A 26,243-nucleotide genomic window follows, 5' to 3' on the forward strand; every position below is an offset into this window, starting at 1 on the left:
AGATCAGCTGTTTTAATGCTGAAAAGAGAAGCTTATATAAATACAGTGCACATCTATTAATGCTTCTCACGTCTGTAGTTCTGTTTCAGGCAGAGGTTTTTTGGCATAGGACCTGTATTCAGCTCACACTTTCCTAGGCTGGCTATGAGTAGAATGCCTCGTGGCAGTAGCTACACTCATACATAGGCATTGATCTTAGATCTGTGTAGAGTTTTAAATCATTGGCATCTTTTAGGCCTAAATTTTATATTTGCTGGATTTTTTTTTTTTTTTTTTTTGAGATGGAGTCTTGCTCTGTCACCCAGGCTGGAGTGCAGTGGTGCATCTCTGCTCACTGCAAGCTCCGCCTCCCGGGTTCACACCATTCTCCTGCCTCAGTGTCCCACGTAGCTGGGACTACAGGCACCCGCCACCACTCCCGGCTAATTTTTTGTATTTTTTCAGTAGAGACGGGGTTTCATCGTGTTAGCCAGCATGGTCTCAATCTCCTGACCTCATGATCCACCTGCCTCGGCCTCCCAAAGTGCTGGGATTACAGGCGTGAGCCACCACACCCAGCCTGGAATTTTTTTAAAGCAGTAAATGTAAACGCTAACTTTAGAAAATATTAATAATATGATTAATTTTAGCCAGAATAAAATAATTTGCCATCTTTATAGAAATCTGGCCACGTAGGAATTAGCATTCTTAAAATTGGCACTGAAGCCAGAAGATGGATAGTGAAATTGGTCACATGCATAGACAGCTACCAAGTCCAGTGTTTAATGGTGCCCAGTGAAGAGGATTGAAGCACACACCAGAGAAGCAGCTGTAACTGGGTCAGAAGAAAAGTGTCAGGCTGAGACTTAGTTTTAGGTAGAAAAATGAGCTGCTTGCCTCTACATTCATTATTGGCTCATCTCATAAACTCAAATGAGGGGATCAGAAGCTGGCAGAAGGGACGGACTCATGCTTGTTGATCCGGATGACCTCTGTTTCAAGGTTCCAGCAATGAGTTAGCTTACATTTTACAAGGTCTCCCAAAGTGAAATGTAGTAGTCTTTACTTAGTGACAGACTAATTTACAACTATGTAATTCTTTTAAGTTTGTAATTAAAATTTCTTCTGAATTATTAATGGCTTTATTGACATGATGTTAATAAAGCCTCTCATCTTGCTGTTAAGTATTGTAGTGAGAAAATCAGCTGACCTGGAAACCATGGGGATTGGTTCTAATGAGCCATAAATGCTTCCCCTCTTCCTTCAGCACTAGTAGACTACCAGCTTTAGGCATTTAACCAAACGAATTGGAGACAGAAAATATTAAAATCCAGCCATCCTATATCAGATGATGAACTCATTTCCAGACTAACTACCCAAGAAAGCAAGTTAAACACTGTAAAAGCCTAAAACGGGGCAAGTTGGGATTAGCTTTTAAAATGCCTGCCTTGAAAAACACATTATTCTGTGAGGTTTTTTTTTTTTCTTTAAAGTTGTGCAAATTTGATTCGGAAAAATAGCTTAATAGGTTTGTATAGGGCACGGGAGAAGGGGTTGTGTGCATAAATGTATGATGATTATTTTAAGTGTGTGCTTCAGCAGCGACAACAAACAGATGAAGATACGTGATACTGACTAAACAGGCAAGAGTATTTTCTAGTCTCAGTTCTTCTAGTCAATGCCTAAAGTATTAGAAAAAGTACTGAAACAATTCCCAAAGCATCAGGAATTTCCATTTCTAGTCAAAATATTGTTTGTTTTCTTCCAACAGTTCTGTTAAATAAAAGGAAAAGTTATAAAGTTTTAGAGATATATTTAATGTCACAGGTTAATAATGTGTGTATAGAAGCCTTCTCTAACCTTGTTTGTAAATCTACCAAACCTCACCTCAAACAGTGTTCTCCTTAAACCCATCCTTTTTGTGCAAAGCTACTGCTTCCTGATGTCCATAACTCAAGGCATTTTTTTTTTCGCTTGGTGTAGTTTCTGAAATGTGATTATTTAATGTTTGCCAAGATGTTTGGAATAGAGTAACTTTCAACTAATCAATTGATTGTGACTTTCTTCTTTTGTAGTTTTTGTTTTTAAAATTGCTTTCTGTCAAACCCATCTATAATTCCCCCAGAATATATTTATATGGACTAAGGCTTACCAAAAATAAGGAAAATCGGAGAAACTGCCACCGCCAGGAGGAGCCAAGGGGACATGATGACTAAATGTAATCTGGTTTCATGGAGGGGCTACCTAGAAAAAAGACATTAAGGGAAGACTAAGGAAACTTGAATAAAGTATGGGCTCTCCTTAATAATAGTGTAACAAATTCATTGTAACAAATGCCCCATACTAACGTAAGATGTGAATAATCAGGGAAACTGGATGTGGGACATATGGGAACTCCACTATCTTCAAAATTTTTCTGTAAATGTAGAACTGTTCTAAAACAATAAAGACTATAAAAAAATAATAAAGACTATTAGAAAAAAAAAAAGGCTGGGCTTATGCTTGTAATCCCAAGACTTTGGGAGGCCAAGGCAGGAAGATCACTTGAGGGCAGAAATTTGACCAGCCTGGGCAACATAGTAAGACCTCAACTCTACAACAACAACAACAACAACAATAAAATAGCCAGGCATGGTGGTGCACACCTATACTCCCAGCTACTTGGGAGGCTGAGGTGGGAGGATCAGCTGAGCCCCAGAAGTCAAGGCTGCAGTGAGTTGTGAATGCACAACTGCACTTCAGACTGGTTGACAGAGATCCTGTCTCAATTTAAAAAAAAAAAAAAAAAAAAAAAAAGGCTGGGCATGATGGCTCACACCTATAATCCCAGCACTTTGGGATTAGTGCTGGGATTGAGGCAGGCAGATCACCTGAGGTCGTGAGTTTAAGAACAGCCTGACCAACATGGAGAAACCCCATCTCTACTAAAAATACAAACTTAGCTGGGCATGGTGGCTCATGGCTCATACCTGTAATCCCAGCTACTCAGGAGGCTGAGGCAGGAGAATCTCTTGAACCCGGGAGGCAGAGGTTGCAGTGAGCCGAGATTGCACCATTGCACTCCAGCCTGGACAACAAGAGTGAAACTCCGTCTCAAAAAAAAAAAAAAAAAAAAAAAAAAAAAAACCCGGCCGGGCACAGTGGCTCATGCCTGTAATCCCAGCACTTTGGGAGGCTGAGGCAGGCAGATCACCTGAGGTCAGGCGTTTGAGACCAGCCTGGCCAACATGGTGAAACCTCGTCTCTACAAAAAACGCAAAAATTAGCCAGGAGTGGTGGCAGGCACCTGTAATCCCAGCTACTCAGGAGGCTGAGGTGGGAGAATTGCTTGAACCCAGCAGGCAGACTATAGTGAGCCAAGATCGCACCACTGTGCTCCAGCCTGGGAGACAGAGCAAGACCCTGTCTCAAAAAAAAAAATGAATTGAAAAAACCTTAAGGGCATTACTTGAACATCAGTTGTTTTACTCTTTTATGTGATCATCTTTTGTGCCCCCAATGACTTTTTTGTTTTTATATCTTCCAGAGAGAGGCAGGAGTCTGTTGTTACACTCACACTGAATTCCCTGGTGGCTGCTTTATTGGCTTTAGGCCAGGTGCAGTGGCTCACGCCTATAATCCCAGCACTTTGGGAGGCCGAGGTGGACGGATTACCTGAGGTCAGGAGTTCGAGACCAGCCTGGCCAACATGGTGAAACCCCATCTCTACTAAAAAACACAAAAATTAGCCGGGCTTGGTGGCAGGCACCTGTAATACCAACTACTTGGGAGGCTGAGGCAGGAGAATGGCTTGTACCCGGGAGGCAGAGGTTGCAGTGAGCGGAGATTGTGCCACTGTATTCCAGCCTGGGAGACAAAGCAAGAGTCTGTCTCAAAAAAAAAAAAAAAAAAGTTGGCTTTAGTATAGACACTTGGGTTCACAGTTTTGTTTGACCATAGTCACTATGGTTGCTTAGTCTTATTGCAAAAGAAAAGAACCCGTCGGGCATCTTTTAGGTGTACTCTCATCTGCCACCCTAAACACCTTTTCCTTACAGAAAAAATAAATTACACAAATGCTCTTTTAAGTTCACAGCCACAGGGTATCTTACCAGGAGCTAAGAAATGAGGTCAGCTTCCTGGAATGAGGTGCCTAAGGGTAGAGCTGACTCCTAGCATAGCCCGACCAGCAATATTAGCGCCAGTGCAGGTACAAATGTTGGCTGATTGGGCAGGGAGTGGAGAGGCGGTGAGCGTGCAAGAGTGCGCGCTCTGCGGGTTGCGCTCCTTTTGGTGGCCCGAAGAAGGCAGCTGGAGCTCACAAGCCACTGCTGGCGGACTTGAACCGAGAGTGAGTGTCTTATGTAAGACATTTCTTGCAGAGTCGTGGCGAGGAAGCGCGGACTAGGGCGCGCTTGCTGCTCTCCAACAACGTCTGGACCCGGGGATCGAGGGCAGCGGAACCCCCTCCCGTCCCTCCATCTCCACCTTCTCTGTGCTTGGGTGCACCCTGTGGATACAGCCGGCCTGAGGGACCGCAGACTCGTCGGGCTGCTTTCTGATGAGAGGATTAACAAACAATTGCCGGCTGCGACCATTTTGCAGGACAGGCATCTTCTGCGCGCAGGCCACGTCGGGCCTGCCCGGGCTCTGGCTGCCTGGAAGTGCTCCCGCTGTTCACCCCGCGGAATTAGGGGTTGGGGGGCAGTTCCCCGCAAATGGGTGAGGGGGTGGAGGCGAGGTGAATTAATGGATACGCAGTAGCCCCATCGAGGGAAAAGGGGTTGGACGGAGGGGAACTGCGGTGGGCAGGGCAGGCCTAGGGGGCTGGTAGGGGATAAAGAGGAGAGTCCCCCTGTACGGTGACTTACCTGGTCTCGGTGCCTCCGCTCTCCCGTTCCCTCACTAATGAGACTCTTAAATCTGGCAGGGACCCAGGAAGGGATATTTGTAATTATTCCAGGTGGTTCGAATTTGCAGCCAGAATGGGAATCACTGTATCTTCTTTACTTCAATGCCTGCTTTCTCTTAGCACGTTCTTGCCACAACCCTTCATTCATGACCTTCTCAGTCCATTTGTTCAGCTTTGGCCTCTCCAGTCCATTATCTCCGCACTTCCCGATTTGGATTCGCAGGTCCGTTAGCCCTGAGCGCTCCAGCAGCCATTGTCTGGTCGGTGGACTGGCTCTCCGCGGGTCATTCACTCACCTTTCCCACTCTGGATTCCCAAGAAAGGGAATTGAAACCATTGGCTCCTAACCAGTCTGTGTCTGGGTGGGGCTTTGCAGCCTCAGGTCCTCTCTCAGGTTACTGGCCACCCTGTCCCCTACACTGCTAGTTAGGTGGTCTAACCAGGGCTGAGGGGCACTACAGGAACCCAGGAACAAAATGTGCCCAGGGGAGGGCTGTGGAGCAGGCAGTTTCCCCTACACTGACTTGCCCAGTCAGCCGGCACCTCAGGGAACTTTGGGTTTTCCACTGGAAAACCGCACACTGTTTTTAAAACGACACTGAGCTCAGAAGACCTCTCATGTGAACCTAGCACTTTCCACAAGCAACACTTAATCAAAAAGCTAGGAGGTGGCTACATCCGATGCAATGCTATACTCTAGCCACTGGGATTAAACACGTTCTTCTCGTTTTCTAATCCGTCAATTAAAAAAACCTGTGATTCCTCTCCCAACTTTCCTTTTAATTTGGGGGGAAGAACAACTGGGTGGGGGGGCCCTATTTGTTTCCAGATTTAGAAGCATTTAGGGGATTACACATTTCACAAGCCCGAAGAGTTCTCTGGTTGCGGGTGGGGTGAAGCAGAAGGAAGAGTCCCCTGTCTTCTGGTGTCCGGAGGTTCCTAGGCGGCTTGGCCCACAAAGCCACACTTATCTTTTCCTCCAGTCAAGAACATCTGCTGCTTTGTCCCAGCCCTTCTTTGAAGAATAGAACCCCCTCTTCTTTTGGTAACGCCTTCTCTCTCCACTTCAAGCCAGAGTCCAGCTAGAGGCTGCAATTTTATATGCCCCCTGGACCCCACCTGGTTAGTCCAGGTGGCTCCTAATTCAAGATGAGCCAATCAGAGCCCTTCCTGGGAACTCCAAAAGAAAGTTTGCTCTTACAACGCGTTAGGCCAGGTGGCTCCTAATTCAAGATGAGCCAAACAGAGGCCGTCCTGGGGACTTGAAAACAAAGTCTGCTCTTCCCACGGCCTGAACAGGACCTCACTGTGTGCCATCCAGGCTGAGTGCAATGACACAATCACAGCTTACTGCAGCCTCAAACTCCTGGGCTCAAGTGATCCTGCTGCCTCAGCCTCCAGAGTTGCTAGGGCTACAGGTGCATGTCACCACAACTGGCATTTTTTTAATTTTTTGTAGAAACAGTGTCTTACTTGTTGCCCAGGCTGGTCACAAACTCCTTGGCTCAAGCAATTCTCCCATCTCTGCCTCCCAAAGTGTTGGGATTACAGATGTGAGCCACCACATCTGGCTGAACTGGACATTAAAATATATAAATTAAGAGGTACTGGCATTCAAGTCACCACTGTATGGCAGATGCCAATCTAGAGTGAGAGATAATAAAGCTGATCTGTAGAGAGGAAGGGACAGCAGATGAAGGGGAGACCCAGTGGCACTGGTGTTCCTGACTCTTAGCTGGACCCGTGTCCTTTCTGCAATTTGGCTCTTTTTCTTTTCTTTTTTTTTGTTCTTTTTTTCTTTTTGATACGGAGTCTGGCTCTGTCATCCAGGCTGGAGTGCAGTAGCGTGATCTTGGCTCACTGAAGCCTCTGCTTCCCAGGTTCGAGAGATTCTCCTGCCTCAGCCTCCCGAGTAGCTGGGACTACAGGCATGTGCCACTATGCCTGGCTAATTTTTGTATTTTTTTTTTTTTTTTTTTTTAGTTGAGACAAGGTTTCACCATGTTGGCCAGGCTGGTCTTGAACTCCTGACCTCAAGTGATCCACCCACCTCAGCCTCCCAAAGTGCTGGGATTACGCGCGTGAGCCACCGTGCCCAGCCCGAAGTTTGGCTCTTCAACCCGTCTGTCAATAAGTGAGAGTCCCCCGTGTTCCTTCAGTAATGAACAAACATATTAATTATCAATTGCTGCATAAAAATGTAACCCCAAACACTGGCTTAAAACAACAAACACATATATGTATTTCACAGTTTCTCTTGGTCAGAAATTGGGGAGTGGCTCAGCTGAGTGGCTGTGGCTCAACCTGCAGTCAGGATGCCAGCTGGGGCTGCAATCTTCTGATGGCTTGACTGTGGCTGAAGGATCCACTTCCAAGGTGGCTCACCCACATGGCTCTTGTCCTGGCAGAAGGCCTCATTCTGTGCTGACTGTTGGCAGGTCTGTTTGACTGGCTGTTGGTAAAAGGCCTCAGTTTCTCACCACATGGACCTCTCTGTAGGCTGCTTGTGTGTCCTCACAACATGGCTGCCTTCCCTCAGAGCAAACAATCCAAGGGAGAGAGCAAGGAGAAAGCCACTGTGCCCTACATGATGTATTCTCTGAAACTGCAGGTCACTTTCACTTTATTCTGTTTTTTTGTTTGTTTTTTTGAGACGGAGTCTTGCTCTGTCTCCCAGGCTGGAGTGCAGTGGCACAATCTTGGTTCACTGCAACTTCTGCCTCCCGGGTTCAAGCGATTCTCCTGCCTCAGCCTCCTGAGTAGCTGGGATTACAGGCGCGTGCCATCATGCCTGGCTAATTTTTGTATTTTCAGTAGAGACGGGGTTTCACCATGTTGGTCAGGCTGGTCTCAAACTCCTGACCTTGTGATCCCCCCCCCTCGGCCTCTCAAAGTGCCAGGATTACAGGTGTGAGCCACCACGCCTGGCCTATTCTGTTCTTTAGAAGATCACCATATTGAGCCCACTCTTAAGAGAAAGACAAATAGGTTCCACGCAGGGAATCAGTGTGTCTAATTTTGAGGTCTCTCCATTCTCACTGACCACTGCCGTCCTGCTGGCCTCTGGGATTCCAAGCTTGGGTGTTTCCTCACCGTATCACCTGAAAGCCGTCCCTGGGGTGTCTAGCTGTTTCAGAGGTGGCTCGGGCCTTCAGGCACAGTTCTCTGTTTTGTCCCAACCTTCTCAGCTCTGATACAACTGAGTGATTCTACTGCTTGTAAGAGGCAGTTCTGCCCTGGCAGGTACCAATCCTTCCCAACCCCACTGTGCAGATAGAGAATATTTTAAAATTACAAAACGGGGGCACAATGTATGAACAGAATATTTGAAATTTTTTTCTGCCCTCAAAAATCTGGGGCCCAAGGTTGTTATATCTTCATGTCCTCATTTCTTAGGGAGGTACCTTCAGAACCAATAGTGACCCCTAACTTCTCTGGTGGTCGGTTCCATGAAAGGCAAAGGAGTGTGAGAGAGGAGTGGATGGTCAACCTCCCACTGCCATGGTAACATGGGTGCTGGCTGATGGGAGCAGAAAATAATTTAGTGAAAGTCTGTGGGGGCAGTCACAAGATGTCTGAGAAAACTGGCGAGCCAGCTGCTGAAAACAGGGACAAGGAAGCCTCCGTGGCTGGAGCCCAAATCACACTGCAGACCCAGACACCGTGACCACCACCATGGACTCCAGAGAGAGCAGCTTATAGTACTCAATCAGCTGCCACTACCACCATCCAGAACACCAGATGTTGTAGCCATGGCTGCAGCAGGAATGGATGTCCCACTGTCCCTGCTCCTCGGTGTGACTTGCTCCCAAGTTCAGGGCAGGTCCATCTGATTGGCTGAGTCTGGAATATCTGCCTGTGCCTCAGCTGTGAGGGAGGCAGGGAAAGTAAGCCTTTTCAGCTTCTGTCGTGGGAGGTGGGCTCTGCCTCCTACCAAGAATCAAAGGGTGGAGGATCTTCAAACACAGGAAAAGAACCCGGATCCTGGCACCCCCAAATTTTCAGAGTCCATTTCAGAGCATAAGAAATTGAGGGTCCAAGATCATTCATGTAAGAAGTTTAGAGGGGGAAGAAAAGAATGATAAACGAAAAGAACAGCAATAGTAAAGGATCTTTTCTTTGTTTCAGTAAGATGAAGAGGCCTGAGCAGTTTCGTGGAGGGGAAGAAACAGGAAAACCTCTTCAAAAGACAAAAAGCTGGCACTGCATTCTCTCTCTGTAGCAGGACAGAACTGTCTAAAGACAAGACCCCTTTGGCCAAAATAAAGGAACCTGAAACATTACTAATGACCCTTCAAAAGCTTCAGTTGTTTGTTTCCTTTAATTAACATCTAAATAGATTATACATCTTCTATAATTATAATATGGAAATGTATATGAGCAAAATATATAAATTTTTTGGTGACTGCTTAGGGAAGAATGATGTCAGTGAAGTTCATCCAAGGTCTTAAGCAGCAGCATCTATGCAGCCAGGGCGTGGTCAGCGTTTGGGGACAGAGGTAAATATCCGCAATCCATGCATCTCTTTGATTTCTTCTTTTAGTGCCTAAGTAAGAAAACAGCATCATCAGTTTTTGTGTATTTGACGTTGATTACAGTAATTCTCTGAGAGTATTTTTATACAGCTCTGCATCTGAAGGAGACTTTGTATGTGCTTTGTTTAAGCAATTTTTCCTTTTTTTGAAAAACAATTTTTTTTAAATCAATAATATCTAACATGATTTAAAGATTCAAAGGTACAAAAAGGCATTCAGGGAAGTCTCCCTCCTATACCTGTCCATCTCCCCAGTTTCCACCCTTGTTCCCAAAAGAACTGTTGTTAGTTTCTTGTGTATCTTTTTTTTTTTTTTTTTTTAAGTCATGGTCTCGCTCTAGCGCCGAAGTTGGAGTGCAGTGGCGCGATATCGGCTTACTGCAAACTCCACCTCCTGGGCTCAAACAATCTTCCTGCTTCAGCCTCCCTAGTAGCTGGGACTACAGGCACATGCCACCATGCCTGGCTAATTTTTTTATTTTTTGTAGAGGCAGGGTCTCACTATATTGCCTAGGCTGGTCTTGAACTCCTGGACTGGAGCAATCTGCCTGTCTTGGCTTCCCAAAGTGCCGGAATTACAAGCGTGAGCCACTGCACCTGGCCAGTTTCTTGTGTATCTTTACAGGGACTTAAAAATGCATATTCACCAGGCATATTCAAGCTAATATATTTCACCCCATGACCTTTTAAAACGCAAATGGTTAAAATTTCAAACACATTACACCAAGCTTGTCCAACCCACGGCCCATGACAGCTTTGAATGTGGCCTAATATAAATTCGTAAACTTTCATAAAACATTTTGAGATTTTTTTTGAAATTTTTTTTAAAGCTCATCAGCTATCATTAGTGTTAGTATATTTTATGTGTGGCCCAAGAGAATTCTTCTTCCATTGTGGCCCAAGGAAGCCAAAGGACTGGACACCCCTGCTCTACACTTTGCTCTTCCCCCAAACATCTATCTTGGAGATCTTTCTATGTTAGGCATATATGGGTGTCCTGATTCTTTTTTGCATCAGCATAGTATTCCATTATATGAATGCATTATAACTTTTCAACCTGTCCCCTAGCGAACTTTTAGGCTGTTTCCTGTGTTTTGTTATTTCGAGCATCAAGCATTCTTTAAAATGAGCAGTTCTTTAAAATCATACCAATTAGCACAAATTCCCCAATGGTCAGAGCAGGAAATAAAGTTTCAAAGGAATTATGGGACTTGTTTTAAGGCTACAAATGGTGTCAGAGCCCAAATCTGAAGGAACTACCAGAGTCAAATAGATATTTGGCCCCTGTAGTGCTGGGAGAAAGTGAGGTTACAGAATCAGAGTGGGGCTTGGACCGCTCAAGTTTATAATCAGTACAGAGGAAGAAATAAGGTCCTTTTATACTAGGCCAAAATCTGATAATCATACTAGAGTGGACATTTTTCTTTTCTAGTCTCTTTAGTGATCTCCTTCTCTTGGGGAATAATTCCTTTTCCACTCTATTGTATAATTCTGGTGGAACCACCAATTGGTCTGATATTGAGGTCATTATGTGCCACTGGCCCAGCCTATGATTGGACCGAGGTGGCACATGACCCAAATTGGGCCACTTAGAATCTCCCTTGGGATTTCTGAGAGTGGAGCCTTGTTTCTTGGGCCAACATGCTATGAAATTAATTGGAGGTGGCCATGGACTGTGTTTCCCACCAAGGAGAGAAAGCCCATCTTTAGCAGGAGAAAAGGAGACCAACACAGGGAAAGAAGCTGAAAGCTCAGAGAGAGAGAGGAATCTAGATATGCCAGAAACCAGATAATTTTGTTACATGGGCCAATTAATTCCCTTTGTTTGCTTATGCTAATTTTAATTTGGTCTCTGTCTCTTACAATATAAAGAATCCTAATATATGTGGTCAGGTTTATAGATCCTTAGACACAATCTAGTCCCATCCCCTTATTTAATTAAAAAAAAAAAATAGAGTCTACTCCTTGTCCAAAGTCAGCAAACAAGCGAGTAATGGAATCAGGATATGAACCCAGGTATCCTGAGGTCCTGGCCATACCTGGTTTCCATCATGTTCCTGACTTGCCCTGATCCGGGAGCTCCTGTTGTGTTGGGGGACAATGAGCTGCCCCACTTGGCCTACACTGCACACCCTCCAGCTCCACAATCAAGTGCAGGGCCCTCAACTCTGCGGACAGGCAGAAATGTCCCTGGAAAAAGCCTCATATAATCACTGGGCGAAGGTCCCTGGGCCACTTGCTCTCTGCAGGCGTGGAATGCTCCCTAGAGACTGTGTCTGTGCCTGGACCACAACCAGCCTCTCCTCCTTACATCCACCTTGGCTGGGTGAGGGCCCAGTCACACCTTCATGTGACTGACCCTGGACAGAGGAACCTTCTGGGCTTCACCCACTCAGGCCCTGCGCACTCCCCCTCCCTGATGCCTTCTCCCTGCTCTCTGTGCAGCCCCTGAGGGCTTCCCAAAACACACTACAGTCCCTTACAGCCACACAGGGTCTTAGAGATCACCTGAGTCACTCTACAGTTAAGGAAACTGGGGCCCTGCTGGGGGAAGTGACTTGGCCGAAGTCCCATGGGTAATAAGATGCAGCTTGGATAACCATTCTTAAGCACCTGCTATGCCCACAGCACTATAGTAGGTGCTGGGGACACAGAGGAAAAGGCGTGGGAAAGTAATGAAAGAGAAAGTAGCATTAAGTCCAACACAAATGGGCTGAATGTGGGCAGCAGAGGACTGCCAGACTCAAGCCAGCACAGCCCTGCTTCCGGTGTTCGAGGTGAGCTACTGCACTGGTGACTGGGGTGGACGCACAAGGGCCACACACAGGAGGCAGCCCTGGAGCTGGAGCCAGAGGTGGAGCAGGCAAGAGTGAGAGGGCATCTGCCCCAGGACAGCAAAGTGAGGAGAGGCTGGGAAGCTCCCGTGATTCACTGAGGTAGGCACATGTCAGGGAGACTGAGGCAGATCACATGAAGAATGGGCAATCCCAGGCTAGGAAGACTGGACTGGATTCTGGGCAACCAGGGGAGCCACGTAAAGGCTCTGAGCAGGGGAAAGACATTGGTGGAGGCGCCTTAGGGGAGGGCAATCCCCTAAGCTGGAAAGAGGCCGGAGGCAGGGAGACGGCAACAGCTGTTTAGCAACTGCCTTCCACGTGGCAGGCACGACGCTGGGCACCTGTGGTCAATGCCTCATGCAATATTTGCCAATATGAGGCTCAAATCTCACCTCTGTCCACCTCAAAAGGCAACTCAGTGATCACCGTGGCTACCTACCTACTCTACCCTTGCTGACACCTCCCCAGGATGGCAGGAGGACAGGTAGGGAGGTGCTCCTGGTACAAAACCCTCAACATCTAGGCCTCCTAGGGCGTGGCCCACAGCAAATGCCCAGTAAGTATTTCCCAAGAGAAGGCTGACGCACTGGGCCCTGGGAGAGGCTGAGCCCCGCGCAGCAGGGTCCCAGAGGAACGAGTCCATTCCTGAGGGTGCCGACAGGGGGCGCCCCCTCCAGGGAATCCCGCAGGGACAGTCTGATGGGAAGCTCAGGAGGGATGCCAGTATCGGATGGGTTGGGCGACCTTTTCAGGCCTTTTGGGCAGAAAATTCTGACTCTACAGCACCAGGATGAACACTACTACGCATAGGGTGAGTAGGCAAAATAGATGAGGCAAGCTTCACCCCGTCAGGACACCAGGCCCCCACCCAAACAGCCTGGGCATGAGAGCATCTGGATGGGGCACCTACCCCACCCCCACCTCACTCCTGAAGAGACCAGCTGGCCCTGGGAGTGGAGTCCAGTTACCACCTTGCCTTCCCCTTGATTCCAGGTCTCTGCCTCCTCCTAGGGCAGTGCCTGTCAGAACCCCATTCCCAACAGCTGTCCTGAGCAGGGCAGCTCCAGGTCCCGGCTCAGACCCTGCCGGCCAACAGACTTGTTCCTGAAGATTTTCATTTTCATTCTTCTCATGCGACTGTCAAAGCCAACATCTCCAGACTTAAATCATCTAAAATTGCCTATGACCAAGTCCATATATTTTAACACAAGTGTCAGCCCCCTAAGAATGTACTGTGGCCAGGCTCAGGGGACCCCCTCATGTCAGCTGCCTGCAGACATCCAGTGTGGAGCTGCATGACCCCCCCAAGTCCTGAGCCAGAAGGGCTGTTCTGGCTGGGGGCAGAGGAGAGGCCTCTAGAATAACTCAGGATGCAGCTGCTCTGGGCACAGTGGCTCACGCCTGTAATCCCAACACTTAGGGAGGCCGAGGCAGGAGGATCGTCAAGGAGTTCAAGACCAGCCTGGGCAGCATAGTGGAACCCCATCTCTATATAAATATAAAAATGTATATTTTTAAGGTTGGGCATGGTGGCTCATGCCTGTAATCCCAGCACTTTGGGAGGCCGAGGCAGGTGGATCACCTGAAGTCAGGAGTTCGAGACCAGCCTGGCCAACATGGTGAAACCCCATCTCTACTAAAAATACTAAAATTAGCCAGGTGTGGTGGCGGGCGCCTGTAGTCCCAGCTACTTGGGAGGCTGAGGCAGAAGAATTGCTTGAACCCAGGAGGCAGAGGTTGCAGTGAGCCGAGATAGCGCCACTGCACTCCAGCCTGGGTGACAGAGTGATACTCTGTGGGAGGGAAAAAAAAGAAGTATATATTTTTAAAAAGTGCCCCAATGTCAGGATGTGAGTTCTCCAAAACAGAATGCCTTTCAGATACTAAAACATAATTTCCATGGGTAAGCCAATAAGAAAACACAAGCCAACTCTCCTCACTCTCTGCAAACTCTCAAGAAATACTGACTGGGCTCCTTCCATGTGCCAGGTCCTTTGTTAGGTGTGGGGGACACAGCCCCGTCCTGCAGTAAGCCTGCTTTCGAGGGGGAATGAAAGACAAGTGACTGGGCTGTCTACTCAGGAAGTGTGAGGAGAGGCACATGTTGCTATAGGGGGCCAGAAGACACCTTAATCCCAAGACCGTGAGGTGACACTCCCCCAAACTGTGGGAATCACAGCCCTTCCCCACCCCAGACTGGTGCAGGTTCCTTCCAGTGTTGGAGATGACAATGATGGTGATGGCGGTCACATTTATGGAAGGCTTACTATGTGTCGGGCAGTGTTGTCAGTGGTCAACGTGTACTTTATCACGAATCCTCACAGCAACACTTTGAAGCAAGTACTGTTACTCTCAATTAGGAAACTGAGGCAAAGGGTGAGGTTGAAAAACTTGCTCAAGGTCACATGGCTAGAAAGTAGCAAAGCCCAGATTTGAAAGTGGGAAGTCCAATTCCAGAAACTGCTTCCTTAACCACTTGTAACTGTGGTTTCAGGCCAAGGGACACACTCAAATTACCAGCACCTATGGGTCCAGTCACACCAGGTGGCTTGTACAGATCTGAGAATAAAACCCAAAGTGCCACGGGTTGGGGATCATCTGGCCAGCCAGGTCTTCCCTGTCTTGTCTTCTGCCTTGATTCTGACCCCAGAGATCACATGGGACTGCAAGAGTTTCCGGGAGGGCTCAGTGATGGAGCACCCAGCAGACCACCAGCATGCCTTAGGGCTGTAGGGGTCACATCCACTGCAAAGGGCTACGTTCCATGAGAAACACAAAGATGGATCCCAAAGGGCACTGGTCCACAAAGGGCTGACAGGTTGCAGGGTCAGACAGCAGAGATGTCCGTTTTCAGGACACAAGACGGAAAACACCGACAGCCAAAAAAGGGGGCCGGGGAGGGTGGGGGAACGGCATTCATTCCCTGCTGGGGAGGGAGGGGAGGCAGCATTTGAGCTGAGTGGAGGACGGGAGGAAGGGCAACCCAGGCAGAAGGTCCAATCTGGGCAAAGGCCCAGATAGAGAAAGAGAGAGACCAGCGGGCAGAGGCCGGCTGGGAGGGTGCACGCAGAGAAGGGTGGGGGGAAATGCGTGAACAGCAGTCTAGGACACCTGAACTCAATGCATGAGAGGCCACCGAAGAGACGCTCATTACCAGTGCTGTGCTTTACAAAAATAACACTAGTTCACAATGGCAAGACCTTCCAGAACGATGCCAAACACACCCAGTGAGGGGGCAAATTCATAGGTACAGGTACAAGGGTCAAAGTTGGTATAAATTCCAAATTAAAATAAATATGGATAATATTTAAACTGAGCCTTAGGCTGGTTGAACGTGATGTTCCAGAACCCAAATGTTCTGTCATTGGGTCTGGGGCAGCTGCAGCCATTCTCACTCATGCCATGCATCAACTGACTCATCTGTAAAGCAGTCCCAAAGAGAGGCCAAAAAACCCCTCTTCAGATCTACAAAAACATGTATCTTTTAGCAGTGTCTGTGTTTAGATATACTCATCAATATGTGACAATAACAGTAAACATAGGTAGCATTATACGAGGACATACAAAATCACTATTGGGAGGCCTGTCTTCAATTTTGAATAAAATTCCTATTTGCCACAATGCAGATACTCCCAGATTCGATTTTTCTCAGGTCTTGAGTCCTGTTTCGTGATTGCAGTACTGCATTATTCTCTCCTGCAACTGACGGCAAAAACCACCATCCCTGCTTGGCAGGCCCCTTTGGAGGCTGAAGGCCAGTGGCAAGGGGCACTGTTGCCTCTACTGACCTGATTAACCATCTGGTGCTGCTGGACAGTTCTCTTCTCCTTAAATTCTTCTGATTCAATTTTAATTTCATACATCGCCCCACAACCTCCTAAAATAAACATGATTCAAAAGCATTTCAATTATTAAGTCATGGCAGCCATGGTCCCATATATCCTTGAAGTACTGTACAATCCAAAGGTCTGAATATTATCATTCAGCACAAAGGAAAGTTGCTAAGACCATTAGGAAAAGATCATGGCTTCCAATCTGACCACATGCTCCTCCTGACAGGCTGCCACAATCCAAAATGTGCTCTTCCTTTTGCGAGGCAGCTGCACCACCCAGGGTTACCACTTGTGGGCAGGAAAGATAAGGCACAAAGCATGGACAACCTAGGGAGTGTAGAGTGTTTCCTTTCACTAGGCCAATAAACGCCACGGAAGAGGATGAGAAGGACGGAATTTCAGCGTTCCAGCTTCCAAAGGACCAACAATCAGTGTTTTTGAAGTGCAAAAATACACTACAATTTGGTTTGAAAACTGTGTAATACTGTCCAAAGAAAGGAAAGAACCAGGGGAGCATGAGAGCCAGGGACACAGCAAACATGCTATGCATGGAGCTGCTCGGGGCTGTCTCTGGCACTGCTGGGTCCACAGCACAGCATCCAGGATTTCATCCTGGCTTTTGGGGGGAGAACTTTTTGGTGAAGCCCTCGAGGCAGAGCTTGGTGGGCCATCCACCCCCTGCCTGAGCTTTCCTCCACCTGGCTGGAGAGCTGGTGCTGATGACTGATGATAAACACACAGCTCTAGCATGAAATAACATGGGCAAGAATATGTCCCCTGCATGATTTACAGAGCCAGGCCATTGTGTGAGAGGTGCAACGTACTCAACAGGCTTTGCTCTGCTTCTTTTTTTTTTTGAGATGGAGTCTCGCTCTGTCGCCCAGGCTGGAGTGCAGTGGCACGATCTGGGCTCACTGCAAGCTCCGCCTCCCAGGTTCACACCATTCTCCTGCCTCAGCCTCCTGAGTAGCTGGGACTATAGGCACACACCATCATGCCCAGCTAATTTTTTTTTTGTATTTTTAGTAGAGACGGGGTTTCACCGTGTTAGCCAGGATGGTCTCGATCTCCTGACCTCGTGATCCACCCGCCTCGGCCTCCCAAAGTGCTGGGATTACAGGCGTGAGCCACCGCGCCTGGCCTGTTCTGTTTTTCTTATAATGTGCTCTAGGAGTCCAAGTTTTGGTTAAACCCAGGTTCTCAGCCTCAACTCCCCTTCTGCACTCTGTCCAGGACTGCGCAGAGCCACAGCTGAGTCAAGCTCTAACTCTGCCCTGGGCCTGGGGCAAGTTCAGGACCTGGTAACATCAAGGCCTCAGCATTGCCCCAAGACTCCTGCAGAGCCCTCACCTGATGTACCATTCCAGCAGATTTTTTTTTTCTTTTTGAGACAGAGTTTCGCTCTTGTCGCCCAGGCTGGAGTGCAGTGGTGCAATCTCAGCTCACTGCAACCTCTGCCTCCCAGGTTCAAGCGATTCTCCTGCCTCAGCCTCCTGAGTAGCTGGGATTACAGGTGCCTGCTACCATGCCTGGCTAATTTTTTTTTTTTTTTTGTATTTCTGGTTGAGATGGGGTTTCACCATGTTGGCCAGGCTGGTCTCGAACTCCTGACCTCAGGTGATCCACCTGCCTCAGCCTCCCAAAGTGCTGGGATTACAGACATGAGCCACCGCGCCTGGCCCCAGCAGATTTTTTTTTTTTTTTTTTGAGACACAGTCTCGCTCTGTCACCCAGGCTGGAGTGCAGTGGCATGATCTTGGCTCACTGCAGCCTCCGCCTCCCGGGTTCAAGCAAGTCTCCTGCCTCAGACTCTTGAGTAGCTGGGACTACAGGCGTGTGCCACCACGCCCAGTTAATTTTTGTATTTTTAGTAGAGACGGGGGGGTTTCACCATGTTGGCCAGGCTGGTCTTGAACTCCTGACCTCGTGATCCACCTGCCTCAGCCTCTCAAAGTGCTGGGATTACAGGCATGAGCCACTGCTCCAAAACCCCAGCAGATCTTTAGATTGATTTATTTCCTGTGGTTTCCAGAATAAAATCTACTTTCTAAACTTTCTCCTCAATCCTTGGAAATGTTATGTTCTCAGTAAAGTCAGTGAGCCCTCATGGCAATGCTGAGTGGCAAAGGCTGCCTCTGGGTATGGAGAGATTCAGACTGATGCCTATCCAGCGGCCCACGCCACGGGCCGTTCTGTGTGTACGTGTGTGTGTGTGTGTGGATAAAGGGCCTATCTTCCCCATCCTGTGGATGCAGAAGTTGCTTCTCCAGCCTGCTCCTAACACACTGCCAGCCTGAACTTCTAGGTGCCAGTGGCCACCTGAGAAGGACAGCGCTTGGCTGGGGCTGGTAACTGGGCTTAGGACAGAGTCTCCCCTGAGTCCCGGTTCTGGTTCCAGTTCCACTGTCTCTTCCCTATGAGGAGCTAGGCAATTCCTTTGGCCTCTCTGGGCTCATTTCCTCTTAGGGAAAGTAAAGCAGCTGAAGAAAATCTTTCTGGGGTCCACTCCAGCTCTGATATCCTAGGGTGTCAGAAGAATGGGGGAAAATTAGAGCAAAACCTATTCAAAGTCAAATGACAGACTGTGGACCTCAGCTCTAGGGTGACTGAGAGGGACCTTGTCTGAGCTGAGCCAGGCTGGCAACCTTGAGTCCTCCCAGCTGCGCCTTGTCCTCAGTTTCCCTCTGATATTTCTGAATCCTGACTGCCATCCCATGAGGTGGGGGCAGCCGAGCTCCACCTGTCCAGCAGCAACACATCTTGAGAAGCCACTCACCAGCAGCAAGCCCCCTCCTCCAAGCCCCTGACCCTCTGTCCTTCCAAAGGGCAAAATCTTATCCAAGCGCCGTAGGAAGAGTGAGAGAAACCTTACCTGAAATGTCAGTGACTTTTATAGCTGTAGCTCGTGGAAACTTTTCTTTGAGAATTTGGGTCACTCTGAGCTCCCCCTCAGTCTGAGTGGCAAACATCCGATGGTGAAGTGGAAGCTGCCACAGAACAGAGAGGAAGGTCAGGGCAGAGGAAGATGCTGTTGCCCCTGAGCTGGGCCACTGTGCAGGCCCGCCTGCCATTCCCCCTGCAAGGCAGGCCCCTGAGCCCTCGCCAGCACAGCCATGGGTTATGTCAGAGGGGCTCTGTGGTATCAGGAGTCCATGTAAGTGCCCCAAAACACAGAATAAACTTTTATTGGCGGGGACAGGATGATTGTTAATAACTCAATTTGACTCCAGAGACAAGAGGCCCCAAACCTAATTCAAGAGATGTTTGCTTCCATATAATGTTGTGACACTATTATGCCGATAGTTTTATAGGTAAGGAAACTGAGGCACACAGTAATGTGCCCAAGGTTGAATTCGGTAAGATACAGAGCCAGAAAAGCTGGATAGCCTGCCTCAGATCCATACCACTAGGCCATCCACTGCCCTGGATGGTGGGGCCAAATTCCACACTCCCTCGCCTTTAGGCCTGATTAACATGTCTCGCCCTCCCCAGTGGGATGTGACCTCACAGCCCACTGCTCAATTAGCCAGCTATCCTTCATCATGCACTCCTTCTCACTGGGAGCAAAGTCAGAATTCTATGAAAGAACCTGAAGAAGGAGTATCTGTAGGTTGTTTACCATTGGCAACAACACCCCTTCCCCAATGGCTACCATGGGGGAACCTGTGTTTGTGTTTCCTTTTTTTTTTTTTTTGAGACAGAGTTTTGCTCTGTTACCCAGGCTGGAGTGCAGTGGCACAATCTCAGCTCACTGCAACTTCCACCTCCCGGGTTCAAGCGATTCTCCTGCCCCAGCCTCCTGAGTAGCTGGGATTCCAGGCACCCACCACCACGCTCGGCAAATTTTTGTATTTTTAGTAGAGATGAGGTTTCACCATGTTGGCCAGGCTGGTCTCAAACCCCTGACCTCAGGTGATCCACCCACCTCAACCTCCCAAAATTCTAGGATTACAGGCATGAGCCACCACGCCCGGCCAGGGGAGCCCATGTTTCTGATGGAACACGTCTCAACAGTTAGTAGTGAAGGAGCAGAAAAGCAGGTCGGCAGTCACTTGGCTGGGCTGAGTGCATGCTGAAAAGGCAGACTGGGAATGGAGTGTGGCAGGCCTTGAATGCCAGGCTAAAGATTGTGGACTGTATGGGACAGGAGATGGGACTCCAGGTGATAGAACCCAGGCTCATGGGACCAAAGTAACCTGCAGGAAACAGTGCCTTCTGGAGCGAGTCAGGAGAGATGCCCAAGTAAGAGGCATTACAATGATGGAAGCACCGGGCACTGGTCCCTGACTAGACGTGGATGACAGGTTGGAGGACACTAGGGCCGTTCATGGGTGCTGGTGCTGAAGGTCCCACCCCTCTACCCCTCAGTCCTTCCTGATAGCTCAGAGCAGGGTCCTGTGTCACAGAATCTCAGAGCACCTCCTTTAAAATGAGCTGTGCACTGGCTCTCTCACCACTGGTCTTATAGGCCAGGAATGAGTCCGGCAGCATCCCAGAGCTGACCCCAGGGCAGGCCCTCAGAGGCACTTGGTGCTGGATGAATGAATGAGCAGGGGAAGAACTAGTCAATTAGGGACAGAAATGCAAGACAGGAGAAAGGTCCAGAGTGTGATTGTCTGCCTGCTGTGTGGAGGGACAGAAACTCGATGTTGAGAGGCTGGACAGGATTGCCAGGAGTGAGGGTGGGGTGGAGCTGCTTCTGGGGGCAGAATCTTGAGGGTAAAGGCAGAGAGTAACCAGATGGCAGACAGAATCGGCAGCTACTAAGGGGTGAGAGAGGTGAGCGTTGCAGAATCCTTGGGAGAAGCCTTTCATCTTAGCGGATCTGTGGGCAGCGGCCTTTAGTGGAACAATCAACTGACATCCCCAGATGATCACTGTCCACGCTGAAAGTCACCGCAGTGGAAGAACTTCTCTTCATGCACAGGGCAGGCAGGTTCAGAACCAGGGGAGAAGGAAAATGAAAGTTAAGAGAAAGAATGGTATGAGCTGAAGCAAAGGATGGTTCAGAAAGGGGGAGAGATTAGGAGAGCGCGTGGGAAGTGCCCCCTGCTTGGGTTCTGCTCCGGTAGTGTGGGATTTGGAGGAGGATCAAGGTCAGAGGCCCAGTCGACCTTCCCAAGGCCCCGGCCCCGCTGCAGTCCCTCGCACCCACGCCTTGACTCTGGGCTATGACTCCTGTCTTCTGCTCGGTAAACCAATCCTTTTTTTTTCCTGTGCCCGCAGTATTATGACTGTTCATGTGTCTGTCCGCCTGACCTCCAACCTCCACCCAGCTCGGGAGCTCCCCTAGAGCGCGCCAGAGCTTGAAATTTCGAATGCCGTTGTCGCTGAGTGAATGAATGAATGAAAGAATGAATGAGAGAAAGGAAGAGGAGCCCCCCATTGCCAGTGCCGCGCGCGCCCTCCGGGAGCCAGTCCTCAAGCCCCGACAGCCGCCGGCCCCGCGGTCCCTCCGCAGCTCCCGTCCCGGGGAGAGCAGCCCCGACCCTGCCCACGCTCACCCCGCGGATCCCGCGGAGGAGAGGCGCTGCCGCGGCCGGGCTCCATGCAGCCATGCCCGGCCGACGTGACCCGCCGCCCGAGGTCACTGTATGCCCGAAAGACGCGGAGCGGGGGACCGAGAGCCGCCGCCGTGGGAGAGGCCGCCCCCTGCCGCCCGGAGGCCGTCAGCCTCCCGGCCCCGCCCCGGAGGCCTCCGGTCGCCTGGCTCCGGCCCCACCCCGCCATCCCCTGGCCCTGGCTGACTCGCCACCCCCGACACTGCAGCGCCTGCCGACCTCGGGGCCCCGCCCTCTGCCTTCGCTCGCGCCGCTCTCCTTCAGTCTCCCCAGGGCCTGTTTCATGGATAGGGTCCCCTTGCCCGCGTGAAAGTCTCATTCCTCCTCAGCTCAGAAACACTCCAAGGTCTCGGCGCCCTATACTGGCCTTCCCTCATCCGAATACCCCTCGTGCTCCTGATGTACTTTTCCATTCCCACTCCCTACTCTGGCAGTCTAGCTTCTAAGCTGAGGAGTTTGGCCTTCGCTCCAGGTGCGGGGACTCGTGGAAGGATTTGATTCGCGCTTGAGAAAGATCGCTCCGCTCCTGTAAGGAAGAGAGCGTGTAGGGGCTGCAACCAGAGACACAGTCAGAAGCTCCGAGGCTACCGCGATGGTCCAGGTGAGAATGGAGGGGCCTAACTAAACCAGTGGCGGGAGGGATGGAAGAATGAACTGAGACACTTGGGAGGTGAATGGAATCGAGCGACTGCATGTGGAGGTGTGAGTGGGAAGGTATCTGAGATGACTCCAGTTTCTGGCTTGGACAATGACTTGGATGGAGGGTTAGGTGGGGGCTGAGCAGAGTCCACGAACAGTTCTTAATTTGCCTGAGTTTAAGGTGCCACAGGACACAGCCTAACAGAGGCCCAGGTTGGAGCCATGGACCATGGAGTCATGAGAATGGAAGGGAAGCTGACGCCATGTGGGATGGGGTAGAACTGTCCGCAAATTCGTCCCGCCTCTGGAGTCTTCAGACCAGTCAAGGCCGAAATTCAACCAAGCCTCTCCTCTCTCTAGCTGTTATTTGTTTGCAGCACGCGGTCTGGTGGCACCCTGCAGGATTTACCAGCTTTTTGCCAACATTCTGGCCTATGCAATCAATACGTCCCTTCAGCGTTGCACTTGGATGGATTGGACCTATAGTTGTTATATATGGATATTGTCTAATTTATTTATTACAGTATTAACTGACTCCTATGTTCTGGCCTTCAGAATTTCTCCTTTGGATCAATTACTAGCCTGTCTTACATTTTCTGCTTCATTCTTTTAAAATGTTTAGAGATGATTTGCTAAGTTTTCTTCATTGCTGTCAATGATGCAATTTAAACTGTCAAAAAAATTTTTTCTCAAGCAGGGTAGTAATGGTGAACCATTCCCTTGCTATTCAGACAGCATGGTTTAGATGAGGCGCACCTATCCCCAGCTTTAGGAATGGAAACAGGACCCAAGTCTGGCTAATCAGAGACTGGTTTAGGGTCGGCCCCATGGTCTGAGCCAGACCAATGAGAATTGGTAGAGGGACTTCCTTTTGCAACTTCTATTTTAGAATCGGGGGTATATATGCAGGCTTGTTACAGAGGTATATTGCATGGTGCTGAGGTTTGGAGTATGAACGAATCCGTCCTTCAGGTAATGAGCATAGTACCCAATAGGTAGTTTCAACCCTTGCCCCCTTCCTCCTTCCCCAGTCTTGTATTCCCCAGTGTCTGTTGTTCCCAGACATTGATCTTTTTCCTCTATGTTGCTAAGCTGGTAGAAAGGCTGGAGTTGCTGGCAACCATCTTTGCAACCATGCAGGGAGAACTACTTTGGAAATGAAGCAAGATAAAGAAGAAAACAGATAAAAGGAGACAAATGTTTGACTTTGTACAGCTGGAAACCAGCAATGCTGGAAATGAGCACTGAAGGCAGTTTAATGGGTTTGTCACTTGTAACCAAGTGACCCATGGCAAGCTCACAGATTTGTATTGGCAGAATTCCTCCTTTTCTTTATTTAAAATGGTACTTTTGGCCAGGCAAGGTGGTTCACACCTGTAATCCAAAGACTTTGGGAGGCCGAGGCGCACTGATCACCCAAGGTCAGAAGTTCGAGAACAGCCTGGCCAACATTGGCGAAACCCCATCTCTACTAAAAATACAAACCATTAGCTGGCTGCGGTGGCCTTTCTACCAGCTTTTTGTCTCAAAAAAAAAAAAAAAAAAGGTACTTTTGCTTATCTCTAACCTTCCTCTTCCCCATAATTTAACAGTTGCCCATACTATCTGTTACTCTGAGCTACTCTCTGCCCCATTCTCCTCCTCTTATCTTCAGTTCCTCCTAGGCTGTCAGAGCCATCTGAAATGAAAACATTTAGGCCGGGCATAGTGGTTCATGCCTGTAATCCCAGCACTTTGGGAGGCTGAGGCAGGCGGATCAGCTGAGGTCAGGAGTTCAAGACCACCCTGGTCAACATGGTGAAACCCCATCTCTACTAAAAATACAAAAATTATCCAGACATGGTGGCACATGCCTCTACTCCCAGCTACTTGGGAGGCTGAGGCAGGAGAATCGCTTGAACCTAGGAGGCAGGGGTTGCAGTGAGCCGAGATTGAGCCACTGCACTCTAGCCTGGGCGACAGAGTGAGACTTTGTCTAAAAAACATAAATAAAATAAAATGAAATGAAAACATTTGCTACTTGAAATCCTTCAGATTCCCCATCGCCTACCTACAGGCAAAACTCTCAAGTTCTTTTGTATGATTTAACCACTATCTACCTGTCCAACTGAAATCTACCCTTCAGTAATATTATACTTGCACCTCCCTTCATAAGCTATGCTACAAGTTTGGTTATGCAGTTGCCCACCTTTTAAGGTTCAAGCCTTGTCTTCTCCAAAGAGCCACCTCTGACTGCCTCACAGTAAGCTTAGGGCCCGCAACTTACCTGTAACTTTTGTTGCACTTATGGCCTTTTACAACTATCAATTTATGTATGTGTCTGTTCTCACTGGTTTATAAGCTCCCTGAGGACAGAGCCTTGCTTGAGTCATCTGTCAGCAGCCCAATATGGGACAAAAAGTGCATGCATTGTAATTACTGAACAGAACTGATAGAGGCTCAGCAATTTGCGCTCCATAGGTCTAAGTTTGAACTTTTCTAGAAAAGGATTTGCAGGACGATCTGACGAATCTTGGGCTTCCAAATTAGTTCCAACAGTTCTAGTATTTTTTTTTTTTTTTGACAGAAGCAAATAAGTAAGTTTTACTTTGTGATTAAAACAAAAGTGAAATGCATTTAGTCCCAGGAAATGTCAATCCTTTCTGCATCTTACTTTTTTTTGCTGTGACCTCGAGATTCTCTTGTTCTCTTCAGTTGTATTGGTCCATGATCACTCATAGCTTTCATACACATATATACATCTGAAACTCAGAAAATTCATTAGGTAGGAACTCTTTGGATGCATCTCCTTTTTTAACCTCATTGGGATGATTTTTCGTTGCACCATCATTTTATAGAGCTTCCTAGCACTGCTGAGCATGCAGAATTTTTGCAAATGCAATCCAGAGAAACAGACTTGCTATATACTAGCTATTTGAACTTGTCTGAGCTTATGTGGCATGGTCTAAAGAATACTGAAATATTTCTGGCATACCTCTTAATTGCAGTCACTTTCTCCAGGTTGCTTTATGGATTAAATGAGATAACCTACTAAAGGACTCCAGTAAAAAGCTAAAAAGGTAGCTAGCTTTTGAGGTGTTGTGGCAGACTGGCATCTAGTGGCCAGCGATAAAGGTGCAGACTAGTGTCCACACCTAAGTGGGGACAGTGCAGGCTGTAATGTCCATACCTAGTGGGGACATCAATGGGGTATTTGTCAGAGAAGCTCCATGGCATAGTTTGGACATTGTTTCTGGCTGTGCAGGTTCAAACCCAGAGTCTGGCTCTCCCAAAGATTATCTGAGTTATTCTATTATTTTACAAAGTTTGAAATAGCCATTAGATACCCTTACAAACTTATCATTTTTGTGATTGATTTTAAGTCTACTGAAAATGTCAAAAGAAATCCAAAACTGATTGCTAGTAACTAGGCCAGGTGTGGTGGCTCACACCTGTAATCCCAGCACTTTGGGGCCGGGGCAGGCAGATTGCTTGAGCTCAGGAGTTCGAGACCAGCCTGGGCAACATGGCAAAACTCCATATTTACAAAAAATACAAAAAATTAGCCGGACATGATGGTGTGTGCCTGTTGTCCCCGCTACTAGAAGGCTCAGAAAGAAGGATCACTTGAGCCTGGGAGGCGGAGGTTGCAGTGAGCCAAGACTGTGCCACTGCACTCCAACCTGGGCAACAGAGACCCCAGCTCAAAAAAATAAAATTAGTGTTAACTTGTACTGTTTAGCCACATTCATTAAGTTTTTAATTTTAACTCTACTATCGCACAACCAGGAATGTACAAGAGATCTGGAGCCTGATTTGCATGGCAGGAAGGAGACCACGTATTTTTGTTTGGGATGGGTTTTAGCCACTATCAGAGACATAGTTTGTTTCTTAGGGGTTCGGTCCCAGTAGTATGATACTTAGTTCATTTAGGAACTTCCTTTTTTAACGGCTAAGAAAACATTTTAGCTACTAAATGATATGCAAAGA

At 48.4% G+C, this 26,243-nt stretch overlaps 2 protein-coding genes and 1 long non-coding RNA gene across 7 annotated transcripts in view, besides 4 other annotated features; 2 read left to right on the forward strand and 1 right to left on the reverse strand.

Moving 5' to 3' along the window:
• TET3 (tet methylcytosine dioxygenase 3) overlaps positions 1-9,256 on the forward strand; it is a 151,868-nt gene extending 142,612 nt beyond the window's left edge. For both annotated transcript variants that reach the window (XM_024452745.2, XM_024452746.2), the window contains one exon: positions 8,999-9,256. In XM_024452745.2, coding sequence (XP_024308513.1) covers positions 8,999-9,001 — 3 coding nt within the window. In that variant the 3' untranslated portion in view covers positions 9,002-9,256. The remainder of the gene's footprint in view (positions 1-8,998) is intronic.
• Positions 3,900-4,513: an enhancer, noted in NCBI's record as "H3K4me1 hESC enhancer chr2:74357269-74357882 (GRCh37/hg19 assembly coordinates)". NCBI's record gives its function as "activates a minimal SCP1, AML or CMV promoter by ChIP-STARR-seq in naive H9 embryonic stem cells {active_cell/tissue: H9 hESC(naive)}" and the evidence as "EXISTENCE:reporter gene assay evidence [ECO:0000049][PMID:30033119]".
• BOLA3 (bolA family member 3) lies at positions 9,158-21,670 on the reverse strand. 2 transcript variants are annotated; one of them, NM_212552.3, is made up of 4 exons: positions 21,579-21,670; positions 18,947-19,061; positions 16,030-16,118; positions 9,158-9,416 (listed from the first exon to the last, which is right to left on the reverse strand). In NM_212552.3, the coding sequence occupies exons 1-4, from the start codon at positions 21,630-21,632 to the stop codon at positions 9,351-9,353; spliced, it is 324 nt and encodes a 107-aa protein (NP_997717.2). In that variant the 5' UTR covers positions 21,633-21,670; the 3' UTR covers positions 9,158-9,350. The 2 variants fall into 2 exon arrangements, with proteins under 2 accessions (NP_997717.2, NP_001030582.1); NM_001035505.2 differs by lacking the exon at positions 16,030-16,118.
• Positions 21,411-21,890: a silencer, noted in NCBI's record as "silent region_11652". NCBI's record gives its function as "represses an Ori minimal core promoter by ATAC-STARR-seq in GM12878 lymphoblastoid cells {active_cell/tissue: GM12878}" and the evidence as "EXISTENCE:reporter gene assay evidence [ECO:0000049][PMID:35858748]".
• Positions 21,411-22,083: a biological region, named in NCBI's record as "H3K27ac hESC enhancer GRCh37_chr2:74374793-74375452".
• Positions 21,424-22,083: an enhancer, noted in NCBI's record as "H3K27ac hESC enhancer chr2:74374793-74375452 (GRCh37/hg19 assembly coordinates)". NCBI's record gives its function as "activates a minimal SCP1, AML or CMV promoter by ChIP-STARR-seq in primed H9 embryonic stem cells {active_cell/tissue: H9 hESC(primed)}" and the evidence as "EXISTENCE:reporter gene assay evidence [ECO:0000049][PMID:30033119]".
• On the forward strand, positions 21,739-26,147 carry BOLA3-DT (BOLA3 divergent transcript). Of its 3 annotated transcripts, NR_045636.1 has the most exons (3): positions 21,739-21,981; positions 22,108-22,236; positions 22,456-26,147. It is a non-coding gene; the product is annotated as a BOLA3 divergent transcript (long non-coding RNA). The 3 variants fall into 3 exon arrangements; NR_045634.1 differs by having other exon boundaries at positions 21,739-22,236; NR_045637.1 differs by having other exon boundaries at positions 21,739-22,236; positions 22,652-22,812.

Source organism: Homo sapiens, chromosome 2 (genome assembly GCF_000001405.40).
Source record: "Homo sapiens chromosome 2, GRCh38.p14 Primary Assembly".
NCBI lineage: Eukaryota > Metazoa > Chordata > Mammalia > Primates > Hominidae > Homo > Homo sapiens.

Coding starts and splice junctions, on each gene's coding strand:
- BOLA3 (NM_212552.3), bottom strand. CDS start 21,632: ATGGCTGCATGGAGCCCGGCCGCGGCAGCGCCTCTCCTCCGCGGGATC. Junction 19,062..21,578: donor TCCTCCGCGGGATCCGCGGG/GTGAGCGTGGGC, acceptor GTTCTGTGGCAG/CTTCCACTTCACCATCGGAT. Junction 9,417..16,029: donor AGCACCAGATGGTTAATCAG/GTCAGTAGAGGC, acceptor TTTCTTACTTAG/GCACTAAAAGAAGAAATCAA.